Here is a 12,965-nt window from a genome sequence, read left to right on the forward strand (position 1 = left end):
GCTTCCTGGCTTTTCTAATAATTAATGAATGTTTGAGTTTTCAGGCAAAGGAAAACCTCTTTGCACGATTACAAAAATAACCTAATTAAAGAGACTTTTGCAAATCACTTGCTAAATAAGTTGATCCGACTCCAGAGAAATAGAACTGAAGACTCTTGGAAGCATCTGATAATATGCCAAGGAACACCGAGGAAAGATAAATACCAAGGTTGAGTGGGTTATCAAATGACAGTAATTTCTTGGTTTTTGTGGCTGGTAAACTGATCAGGACTGCTTTCATGTCTTAGGTTGAAAAATCAGAATATTTGAATATTTTAAGTCTAAACCCTCCAGTTGAAAAACTGGGGAGAAAGACAATTCTGGTCAAGTTAAATTAAAATATTTTAGTTGCTAGGGGGAAATACAGTAACTTTATTCCATCATCCAGGTCTTACTCATTTTTGTGTCTTATCTGGATGTATGCATTGCAACATGGACACACATTGTTGTGTACTTTGGGCCATTAGCCGTATTTGGGCTGACAACAACAAAGTTCAAATTCTGCAGGGTTTCAAATTCACACACTGCATTTGTAATGTTGACTTTCTATCACAAGGATGTTCATATCTTTGCAATTAGAAATTCTTAGAAAATTTGATTTTCTTAGAAAAAGCAAAAATGATTTTCTTAGAAAAAGCAAAAATGATTTTAAAATGCTTGTGCATATGGACATAAAATTCCATAACTGTGAGAAGCATAATGAGATGTTTCCTAAAGGCAAGTTAAAACTGCAGCATCAAGCAGAATTTTTTTTTATTATCTACAAGAGTTAATTAATAATACCATTTGGCACTGTTAGATGTTCAGAAAATAGTCTAATAAGTAAGACTGCTTTGCTTTCCTTTTGCTGTTAAAGGCTGTTCAGACTCTCTAAATTGCTTACTAGGAAATAGACCTTGTGGTATAAGGGTCATGTGCTTGGAAACTAATTGGGATTCATTGTAGTACTGCATTGCCACAGATGGCTCATACAGAACATAATATAATATCAGTCAAATGCAGTGAGGTATTTGGAAATAATTTTCCTTGGATAGGTTTATAATCATATGATCCAGCTGATTTTCCCAACGGCAAGATTCCTACCCACCATGTATTCCTTAAATAGCTCCAATTTTGCTTGAAAAACTCTCTAAAATAATTCAATTTATAATTTTAGTTTAAAACAAAGTAAAATATAAAGCTTAATTTTTTTCCCTTATTTCATTAGGTTAGAAGCAAACTTATTAGGAAACAAATTGGACAACACTATGTTTCATTGCTGTTGATGCATTTGTTCAGTCTTTGTTTGTTTGTTTATTGATTTATAGAGATGAGGTCCCACCATGTTGCCCAGGCTGGTCTTGAACTCCTGGGCTTACAGGTGTGAGCCACCACTACCAGCCACTTGTTCAATCTTTTAATGCCTCCCTGCTCTCTGCTAAGCTTAAACAGTATTTTTCAAAGTATAATCCACAGACAATCTGTTATTATTTAACAAAAACTCATGCTCAACAGCTAATCTGAAATAAAACTAGTAAAACCACTATATTCAAGCTAGTTTTAATAAAAACTCATGTTTACTATCTACTTTTAAATAATGCAACTACCGTTAGGATTGTTGGGGAAAAAAATGTAAGAAAAGCTATTTAAAAAAATAAAAATAAAAACACCCTTGTATTGGAGATCCTTTTAAGAAGGAATCATGTATGTGACTTAATTTGGGAAAAAACTGCTACGTTCAAGCTAATTTTTATGAAAACTAATGTATACAACTAGTTTTAGTCATTCACTTTCAGGCTTCATTGTAAATGCAGATTCCTGGACTCTTCCTACTGAGGAGAAAGGTCGAGAGGTAGAGCCTGTAAACAGCAGTTTGGATAATTTCCCCAGGTGGTTCTGATTTACACCAAAGTAGGAGAACTAATAATGTAAACATAAAGCTTGAAAAAAAAATTGTTTTCCTTTCATATTCAAGTCTTTTGTTCTACAGTTCGCTTGAAATGCAGTGGTTCCTGGTCGGGTCACTGTGGTCTTAGCATCCATTGACATGATGGCAAGAACTGGTTGAGAATCAGTATAAAGGGAGAAAGAGAAGAGTGTGGGCTGGGCGCGGAGGCTTATGGCTGTAATCTCAGCACTTTGGGGGGCCGAGGCGGGTGGATCACCTGAGGTCAGGAGTTTGAGACCAGCTTGGCCAACATGGCGAAACTCCTGTCTCTACTAAAAATACAAAAATTAGCCAGGCGTGATGGTGCACGCCTGCAATCCCAGCTACTCAGGAGGCTGAGGCAAGAGAATTGCTTGAACCCAGGAGGCAGAGGTTGCAGTGAGCCAAGATGGCGTGACTGCACTCCAGCCTGGGCGACAGAGAAAGACTCCATCTCAAAAAAAAAAAAAAAAAAAAAAAAAAAAGTGTGAAGAAAGTAAGTACTTGAGATTTCTCCAGGAAGGAAGGGTACAGAGAGAGCAATAAACTGTCTACTTGATAATTCTGAGTTGATCTAGCTCTATAGTTTTAAAACTAATCATGATATCAATTGAATATCATAAAATTTCCACCTCAAAGCTGTGCAGGTTTTTCCTGAATTCTAAGTGGAAAGGGTCTGTCAGATTGAATGCCAAACATGTGTTGTACATACTGCATAGGATTAGTGGCTCTACCTCTGCAATCAATCAAGCAATCAACAGCAATGATTTATTGAGTTCTAATTATGTACATAAGTTTGTGCTTTAGCTTAGTGGTTCTCAGCGTTTCCAGCACATTAAAATCAACTGGGCATCTGAAAAAATTACCATTGTCATGCCCCAACTAATTAAATTAGAATTTCTAGAGACGAGGTCCAGAGCTTCTACTATAGATCTTCACATATTACCAGTTTGGGTCCTTCTTTCGAGTGCAGTGACCTCTGCCATTGATTTGTAATGCTTGTACAAGAAAAACTGCTCTTAGAGATAGAGCTTGAGCCTCTAAATTAGAAAACCAATTTTCTAAACCAGATTCCATTTTAAGATGCTTGATAAATTTTAGTTACTGCCCATGTGACCAGAGAACAATACTTAGTTTCTCCAGAAGGTACCAACAGTTGTTAACGGATATATATTAACAGGACTTTTATTAATTATTTCATTTTCTATGCCATGATTTTATTTAATTATCATAGTAAATGTATAAAGTCCATAATATTACCTTCATTTTACAAGTAAGAAAATTGAGGCTTAGAAATTTACTCTAAAGAATACATAATTATTTATTGAGTGGCTACTATGTGCCAAGCACAATGCAAGATGTCTTGTACACTATTATGGGATGAGATTCACATGATCATACCTGTGTTCCCTTGAGGATGATCTGTGGAACACTGGTCTGTCAAGATGCTGTGGGGAAAAAAATCTGCAATCTAATAGGCTTCAGAAGTGCTGAATACTTTTCTACTTTGTTGAAAATTCTCAATGCGCAAAAACTTGTGACGCACACTGAGATAGCATGTAGTAAAGGAACATTTAGAGTGACGCTCTATGGGTTATTTAACTATGAAAATTCTATTTGAGAAACATTTGCCAATTGAACACATTTTGAAAAACACCCCTACAAAACTTTGTGTTCCAGAAATTTTGTCCCACTGCTACATATTAAGAAATTGAGACTGAGAAGTTTGGTAACTTGCCTGCAGTCATTCAGCATGTGGCTCTGCTAGAACCTGAATCTAAGTTTGGCTGTTTTAGAAAATTTTCTTCTGCTTCTAAAATCTATAACTACAGGTCGATGATGGATATCTACTTCTCTGTTAGTAAAGCTGAATTTAAATTGTTGAAAGGATCAAATGTAATGTATGTGAAAACATTTTGAAAACTATAAAATAATACATAAATGTCAGAATTAGGTAGTATACAGTCTAAAGTAGTATAGAAATATTAACTTTTGAAAGAGATCATTTCTTTATCCAAATCTCTGAATTACACTTTTAAGTAATAGTCTCTGCAGAAAGTTAAGTTTTGTCAGTTATTGTTAATTTTGATTGTCAATACTTCATCAATCACACTTGAACTCTTTTGGTAGCATTTTTGGTTTATTAAATTGTCTTTGGGAGAGTAAACTTAGGAAATTTGTGGTTTCTATATACTGAATCCATGAAATATGAAACTAAGAATAATGTCATATTCATCCCAACATCTGATTCTATTGATTATGAAAATGTGAACTCTGACCTGGGACAAATAGTATGTTGCTTCTAGTTTAATAATAATAAAACAATGTTAGTGTAATTTATGATATTTTCTTCTGAGTACATTTCTTTAAAGAAGGAAGCAAAGCTGAGAAACAATCAGGATAAGAATCAACTAGTCAACTTTCCTGAATATGCTTTACTGGAGAAATATACAGTTGATTGGAGAAGCCTGTGGCTTCCAAAACTGGGAGCCATTTAAAGCTAAGCAAAGAGAAGGTAAAATGCTGTATGATTGCACAGATGGCATATCTCTACTTCAAGGAAGTGCTTTAGGGGATTTCTTGATATGTCAAAAGATAATCCCATTAAGAAAAGAATAAAGACCAACTGATCCCATATTTAGAAAAGATGAAACACACCTTCAACTCTCTTATTCACTAGTGAGGAATCATCAGATATTCTCTGTCACAACAAATTAAATGTGCAAGAGGTTTTTTATGTCACCTGGTTGAGTTAGCATGGAAATTATTTACAGCACTTTGAATGCAGATGGAAAATGAATCTACAGAGATCTGTAACTAATGTGTATGGACATTCTTTCCTTTATTTTTTCCTTCTTGCCCGTTTCCCCAGAATACTTTAAATGAATTAATAATAATGATGGATCCAAAGAAATAACTGTGAAAATGGTGATGTTCAGAAAAGATTGTTCCAAGAACAACCCCTCTATCTAGGGTAAGTGGGAAGGAAGTGAAATAACATCTCGTAGAAAGATGTTCATCAATGCAAAGTGAGTGGTAAATAGAAATGAATTAGTACATAGCTTAGGACTTTGCTGGGATCTTCAAAGAAGTACTATATAGCTTGAAAAATATCACCATTCCTTAGAGACTCAGAACCTACAGAAGACTGTTAAATTCTACAAGTAAATGTTATTTGAGAGTTTGAGGTTAATGAATTTCTGCCCAGGAATTATTCTTGACTGTGTTCTGTTTCCATGAGTGATGTTCAACATAGCTAGTGCTCTTCTGTGACACCAGAGGTTTCAAGTTTAGTTTTCTTTCTGTGGATCACGGTTTTTAAATCTTTAAATGCTAAGACACTTTTGAGTCTTTGTGTAAATAATACATTTTAAATCGTGGAATCAGTTTCAATTAAAAATTAACATTGTTATGGAGTTATGTGTGTACTGTTGAAAAGGTAAGGGTTTTGGGTAGTTTGAAAATACGCAGATCTACACAATATATGAGACAGGGAGAAGAAAAGAGGAGGGAACAAAGTTCACAAAGATGAAAAGAAGTCCATAGAATTAGCATCGTGTTTCCATGCTTTGCCCTGTTGAAAGTCTGAATCTCCTTTTTCATGAAGGAAGAGTTACTTATTTTTAATGCATGAAGATAGAACTAAGATGATGAGTGGGACAGAGAAGATTCCTGTAAATACACATTTCTAGAAGTCTTTATACCCCTAATATGCCCCTGCTTCAACATACAGTGCAAGTATCTTTCCAGTGTATTCATTTCAATGTCTAGAATACATGAGTTTTGCTATCCTAAAGGAATAGAGAATTGTGGCTATTTATGCTTAGCAAATACAAATATCAACAACACCAATTAGCAAAAACATTTTCTACTGGGCACATCTTTTTTTTTTTTTTTAAACTGATTACACAGTATGAACTGAGGACTGTTTTCGAATCCCTCTCTCCTCTCGAATTAATTTACCACATTCTAAATCCGTAGATAAAGTAGTTCCAGAAGTGGAGTTGGTTGGATGGGTTTGCTTACATTGCAGTCCATAAAAGAAACAAAAAGCCTTGCATGCAAAAGAAATGAGAAAAAAATATAGAAAAATGAATAAATCAGAAGCAAGAATGAATGTTTAAATGAAAATTTACATCACATGAAGCTGGCAACTATGAAAAGCACATTAAAGCATCATATATACAAGCTTTTATTTTCCAAATTAGTTGCATAAAACAAGACACCTCAAGAGCAAATTGAAAGTTAAAGCAGATCAGTTCATTCTCCCTTTGAATTAAAGAAACAGCTTCTTATAACAAGAGCTTTGGAAAGGGGTGTTCATTGTTGTCATAGTTGCCTTGTAATTCTGGGGAAGATTTTCATGTGAAACCAGGTTATAATGAATCATCCCCAGTTTTGGGCCCTTAAGGAGGGCTTCCACTTAAAGAAAGTGGATCTATTATCAGATTATTAATCAGAACCAGCCACATAATTTGCAGGGTCCAGTGCGAAATGAAAATATGGGACACTTTGTTCAAAAATTATTTAGAATTTCAAGATGACAGGAGAGCATTAAACTGGCTCTGTCATTAATAGTCATAGTCTTAAAATTCTAACAATATTTAAAAATTCAAAGCAGAGCCTGATTCACTATGATGACCATAAACTTTATATTTTGTTTATTCTAGCATGGTTATGAAGGAATTATCTTAAATCACAATCAGCCTTTTCAAAAGAGTGTAAGTTGATTTCCTTCAAAAATGGTGTGATTTCCTTCAGAAATAAAAGTAGTAGGCAAAAATGGTCAACTACTAAAGTTGTCCTATAATCCCAAACACAATTTAGAAAAATAAAGTCTCATATACATTGCATTTTCATTTTGTATTGTTTATGACATTCCTGGCAAAAAAAAATTTGAGGTGATATATCCTTTTACAAATCTTACTTTGATAGAAGTGTTCAATTTCGTAGTATGACTTTTACATATTTATATAAATTGTTTTGCATTAGTACATGTGCTCAGAATCTATACTTAAGGGCTGGTAACATTTCTGTTAAATATCTTTTTATATCTTTTCCAATTTTGGATTTATTTTTGCCTTTTTCCATCTAGGGTTTCTATCTTACGAGCAAACAACAGTTCAAAAATTAACTGAGTTTGGAATTTCTGCACTGTCTTTCCAAATAATGCTAATTGGATTTAGTGTATAAGCCCCTTCCTTGTCGTTAATAAATGATGGACCTGCAGTGCCCACAGCACCTGGCAGGGATTCAATAGCTCTCTGCTCTAACTCAAAAATGGCTCTTCTGGGCATCTAATTCAATAGACTGAAAAAGAGCAAACATCCTTAAAAACCCCCAAACTTAAGACAGATAATGCAAACTATAAACTAACCAGTCCTAGAAAGAGATGACTCACCTGTTCAATATCATTATTCTTCCGTGATTTGTATATGAATTCTCCAATAGCTACAAATACAGAAAGGACCAGTCCGGCAGCCAGAACAATGAAGATGCCTCCAATATTTTCCACTCCCAGGGCACTGGCTTCTTTGTTGTCTTCCTCGGGGCAGCCATTCCCACGCCACCACTTCTCTTTCATCATATGCAGCTTCCCTTCTTCTTGGAGTTGAAGAATAGCAATAGTAATTTTATCCCGGTAAGGAGAACCTGGAAGTAAAACCATCTGGATATTGGTCACCAAAATGTTGAAGAAGACATCCAGAAGTATTCTTAATTATCATCTTTGTCATAACTATGTTACGGCTGTTGTGAGACCCCAATCCACAAATTGACTTGCAAAGGACAGGAAAGTTCACTCCTATATTTTGAAGGCACTATATAATTGGAAAGAAGATAGCTGACATGTTGAGATTAACTTTGGCCCCGATTGTTTGCTCCTTTTAAATAAGGAGAAGCAAAGCTAGGAATTCTATGACATGTCTTTGTTTCTGGTGAGATCATTATGAGTCTTTTCACATGTCAAGAGATTTCACTGTGTAAGCTAAAAATAAAATTCTAAGCCCCCATTGACTGAACGACCCTCTTTTGTAACCAAAGGGACCCCAGAAAAAGCTTAAGAACTTAGTTTGCAGCCATACCGGAATGGGAGGTCAGACAGAGCAGTCTATTTGTGGCAATAAGATATCAAATTATAAACAGAACTGAAGGCCATGCCAGACAAGGGTTAAGTCACACAGCCTTGGACTTAAAAAATAAACTATGCTCCAACTGCTACAAGGCTTTTCTTTTTCTCAAGGAGGTAAACAAGCACTGGCCTCAAGATAAGCAATATTAAAACAACTACAGCTCATCCAACTCTTAGACACTGACTTCCAGCCCCTGTTCCACCAGATATACCTTTCATTAAACAAGATCCTGATTTCAGTAACTTTCTCCAGAGAAGAAGACCACCGACCTTAGACTGGTTCTGGTTGGATTAAAGAGAGTGTACCCTTGCATGCCATTGTGTCCTGCAAGACATTTTGACGTATAGAACCTAATTATAAAACCATTAAATGTTAAGTCTCTACCCCGAAGTGGACAAGGATTGTATGTTACATGCATTTTTGTTCAATATGCATGTGTCAGGATCATCTTCATAAATATTCATAGCTCCGCCTGTAACCAGTTTAATATGTATGTTTAGCCAACCCATTCGGCATAAAGCTCTTGCCCCAACCCCTCTTTTTTCAAAGTGCCTGTCTTTGATCTTGGTTGGACACATGTTTTCCAGCCTACGGGATGACCACCTTGCAGATTGTCACCCTTTAATTATGAAGAAATGAAGTCTCCATTTCTACTTTCCAAATTTATCGATATTGTGGTTACATTTTTTAAGTTAGCAGTTATTTAGACCTTACTTTTTTCTAGGCTCTTTGTTGTCTCATATTGTGACTGGGCTTGGCTGGATGACCAGCAGTGCCATTTCTTCTTCTGAGGGGGAGTAACTAGACATTTCCCACCTCCCTTACAGTTCAGTGTGGTTATGTGACTGGTTTCTAGCCAATAGGAACTAAGATGATGTCTTCCCAACATGATCTTTGGCTCTCTCTCTTTTTCCAAATATATAGCAAGAAGGAAAGGATTTCAAGTCACTAGGAATGATGGAACCACAAAATAGAAGGAACTTGAATAGAAGGAACTTTGAATAGAAGGATTGAAAGAAAGCAGAGCCTCTCTTTCAATCCGCACTGGACTGTGGCAAGATCAAGAAATTAACATTGAATGTGTAAGCCACTGAAAATTTGCAGATGTTGGTTAGTACATACTGATTAATGCACCTATTAAGATAAACTTAAGAGTAGGTTTTGAATAATTCAAATATCCTACAAAATTCAGGTAGGTTTGGAAAATTTGCAAGGACTTTATTAATATTATTTATTCTCTATCTCCTAGTAATGCCACTGAACTTTTAATTATGTAAGGGTTGGAAAGTGCCAACATCTACCTGTAGACATAGCTTCTCAATACTGGATTTTGGTTAATCAATGCAAAGGAAGAGGCAAAGTAAGATTCTTTCAATTAATCTGTCCTTGAATGTGAAGAACTCTTGTTAGCATTTCTTCTACTCAGTAGAAAAGTAGTACACCCTGGTTTTCTCTATTTGCAAATGTTAAAGTTTTTCTTGGTGGAAGCACATTGATAAATGAGGCATCTTAGGACTAGAAGAAATCTTAGGAATGATACAGTCCAGTCCACTTACAGTTCAGTACACATTCCATTTTAGAATGGAAGAAATTTAGGAACTGAAAGTATGAGTGAAACTGATAGTTGCTGGCACAGCCAAGAATCAAACTCAAGTTTCCTGACTTCTTACTTTTCAGTGTTGTTTTCACGACAGTGTTCCCAACCATTACTCCCACCCCTACATAAGCCTTATGTCCTATGGCATGGTTAAGTTAGAAAAACAGAAGGTTAACATTTGTGTCATTTGTTATCAGTTTTCCTTGTAAGACTTCCTGAAATAATCGTCAGCATTCAAAAGCAAGTTTAAAAGAAGAGCAAAATGCTTTGGAGTGAAATTATGGCTTATCAAGAGTATGAATTTTTGGTGAAAAAAATGGATATTGAAAACAAAATTAAAAGATATTGGCTGTTTGCTTAAATATCCTCAGAATAATGGCTAGTGTAAAAATTAGCACCATTGATATACCCATAGCAGGTGAGCAATTAAGTGAACCAAGAGCACTTTGCTTTAATGTACATGAAAGTGCTTTGAAGAGTGTAAGAATGATTCTTATGTTAGTTGTTGCAGTAATAATCCTAGGAGCATACACAGTGGGTGCTCAGTAAATGTTGACTGATGCTTTCCTTCTGCCTCCAGGCTGCGCAATACCTAAAACATTTCAGACAGATGAAAATCTGATCTCTGTTTAAAGTTGGTCTCTGAGAAAGATAATTTTCAGCCTCCTGGTAAGCTGTTCAAACCTTAAATGCTCTTATTCTCTCAGAGTTTTACTTTAAATCTCTCAGGAGGTACATTTCCAGAGCTGTTGTCCTGAGTGTCTCTAAGAAGCAAAGTCTTCAATTTTGTGTTGTGACTCTGCCAATCTTTGATTATGGGACAGAGCTTGCAGCCATAAGGGAGTTAGTCAGGGCAAGACTAGAAGTGTACAGATAATTTTTAATATCTGAATATATTTTAACTTAAGTTTTTGTTGTTGTTGCTTAAATGAAGTAAATGACATTGGAAGTTATTATGTCACTTGAAATATATATATATATATTTCATATATATATTTCACACACACACACACACACACATATCTTCCTGAATAGCAACTAATCTTTTGTAAAGAGTCAATTCATCATAAAAGAAACATCTCACAAATTTTTCCAACAGCTGTATTCTCAATGGATGTATTCTCCATGAGGTCTGCCATCTGTTCCAATTATTCCTTCATTGTTTTTGGTTTAAAAGCATGACAGGTTTACAACAACTGTGAAAAATTCCTGGAGTGTATTTCTTTTCATCTAGGAAGTGGGGAAGGCTTTTCAACTTTGGAACTTGGGTGAGGTTGGCCAAAAGGAGACTGAATGGGTACCTTTGGATCTCTCTGTATTATATGTATATTTATATATATATTTTTTTGTATTATATGTATATTTAATATTAATGGTACTCAACACTAGGTCAGCTTCATTCGCAGGAAAGCAGGTAGCGATTTTCAAAGTGCTGCATTCATTTAGGAAAGTGGTAGGAAGAAATGCATTGTTCCCTCCTACCTCCAGCCCTGCGTCACTCACTGTACTATCAGAAATTTTAGCTTTCAAGTTATATTCCATGCTGTAGAAGGAATGTCAATTAAAAGTCTCATGTTAAAGTTCAAACGTTCTTAGGAGAGATGATACACATTGTTATTTTAAATCATTGTTAACAGACAGGAATTTTGGTGCCAAAAAGGGGTGTTGAAATGTGGTGGGGTAGGGTTATGAGGTGGGAGATAGAATGATAAAAGCACAGTTTTTGACTTTATAATTTAGTCTAGAGATGGTTCTATTAAGGAACTATAGTTACTCCTCTACGAGGGTCTTGATTCTGCAAAAATTCAGGCAAAGGTACCTACTCTTGGTGTTCTCATCTGATCTATGGCCCGTTTAACTAAAATCAGCAGTGATGAGATATAAAAAATAGCATCTAACTTCTCCCACTTTTATTATCTAAAATGAGGTGGTGAAGCTTGCTTGGGGCAATAGGACATTGTTTTGAAAGTCAAAAAGAGGTATAATATCCTGTTAGCCAGTGCCAAATGATTCCCTGAGCCTCTTGGAAAACATGTTGACTAAATTATAGGAGAGCTTACCACTTGGGGCAAAATATACACTTCACTAGCGATATTAGTATTTTCATCAGTAGAAGTTATTGGAAATAAAGAAGCAAGAAGGTAGCTGTAAATCTTCTAGCCCAATCATTCTGCAGGAAAGTTATTTGGAGGACATAAATGATAACAATAATAATAAAGTTAATTTCTCCATAGCACATATTTCTAACACCAGGTAGTTAGCAGGAAGTCACATTGGCTGTGTATTCATGGTAAATATGGAAGATAGTTGAACTTTATCTGATTAGTTATATTCATATTAATTAAAAGTTGAATATATAAAATGCAGCTTTTTCTTTTTTAATGAATTTGTTGCTAAATAAAAACATTAGGACAATTCACCTAAAATCTGGATTTTTTTTATTTTCTTAGAAAATGGAATATTCCACAATCTTGTTCTCAAATTCCTACATGTCTACAACTCTCTGACTTGAAAGGCAGCTGTCTCTTTTAGGTATGTCATGTGGTCTGTAATTTTCCATAATTGCCACCGTTCCCTACTACCTCCTGGCACAAGCATGCTTTGCTCACTTATGGTATCTGCTTGGCCTCTGTAAGCATTTTAGTTTGTGATCCCTGCATGATGTGGAGAGTCATATTGGATCATCCCTTTCAAATGACAAAAATACTAATACCAACAAGCAAATCAAACCTACCTGGGGTCCTTAACGATATGGCTTGACTGTTAGCTATGATTTCTGGACTTGCCCAGTAGTCTAGACAGTCCCTGATTCTTCTCCTTTGGAATGCTTACTAACAAATTACCAAGGGCTCACTTGGGAAGAGCAGGTTCCCACTATACCAGGACCTTATATGATACAGTTTTCTTTCTTTCTTTCTTTCTTTCTTTCTTTCTTTCTTTCTTTCTTTCTTTCTTTCTTTCTTTCTTTCTTTCTTTCTTTTTCTTTCTTCCTTCCTTCCTTCCTTCCTTCCTTCCTTCCTTCCTTTCTTTCTTTCTTTCTTTCTTTCTTTCTTTCTTTCTTTTTCTTTCTCCCTTTCTTTCCTTCCTTTCCTTTCTCTCTCTCCCTTTCTTTCTTTCTTTCCTTCCTTCCTTCCTTCCTTCCTTTCTTTCTTTCTTTCTTTCTTTCTTTCTTTCTTTCTTTCTTTCTTTCTTTCTTTCTCTCTTTCTTTCTTTCTCTCCTTCCTTCCTTCTTTCTTTTTTTGAGATGGAGTCTCGCTCTGTTGCCCAGGCTGGAGTACAGTGGCACCATCTC

The 12,965-nt window shown here is 35.5% G+C and overlaps 1 protein-coding gene and 1 long non-coding RNA gene across 13 annotated transcripts in view; one reads left to right on the forward strand and one right to left on the reverse strand.

Annotated features, from left to right (window-relative positions):
- Positions 1–12,965, reverse strand: part of GRIK1 (glutamate ionotropic receptor kainate type subunit 1) — a 403,064-nt gene that overhangs the window by 10,773 nt on the left and 379,326 nt on the right. For 6 of the 11 annotated variants that reach the window (NM_001320621.2, NM_001320618.2, NM_175611.3 and 3 more), the window contains one exon: positions 7,347–7,597. In NM_001320621.2, the coding sequence (NP_001307550.1) occupies positions 7,347–7,597 (251 nt within the window). Of the gene's footprint in view, positions 1–3,241; positions 7,598–12,965 lie in introns of those variants that run through there. The other 5 variants (NM_001393426.1, NM_001410706.1, NM_000830.6 and 2 more) reach the window with 2 other exon arrangements.
- On the forward strand, positions 7,592–12,636 carry LOC124905006 (uncharacterized). 2 transcript variants are annotated; one of them, XR_007067839.1, is made up of 3 exons: positions 7,592–9,186; positions 10,254–10,342; positions 12,124–12,636. It is a non-coding gene; the product is annotated as an uncharacterized LOC124905006 (long non-coding RNA). The 2 variants fall into 2 exon arrangements; XR_007067838.1 differs by having other exon boundaries at positions 9,326–10,342; positions 12,124–12,633.

This window comes from Homo sapiens, chromosome 21 (genome assembly GCF_000001405.40).
Source record: "Homo sapiens chromosome 21, GRCh38.p14 Primary Assembly".
Lineage (NCBI taxonomy): Eukaryota > Metazoa > Chordata > Mammalia > Primates > Hominidae > Homo > Homo sapiens.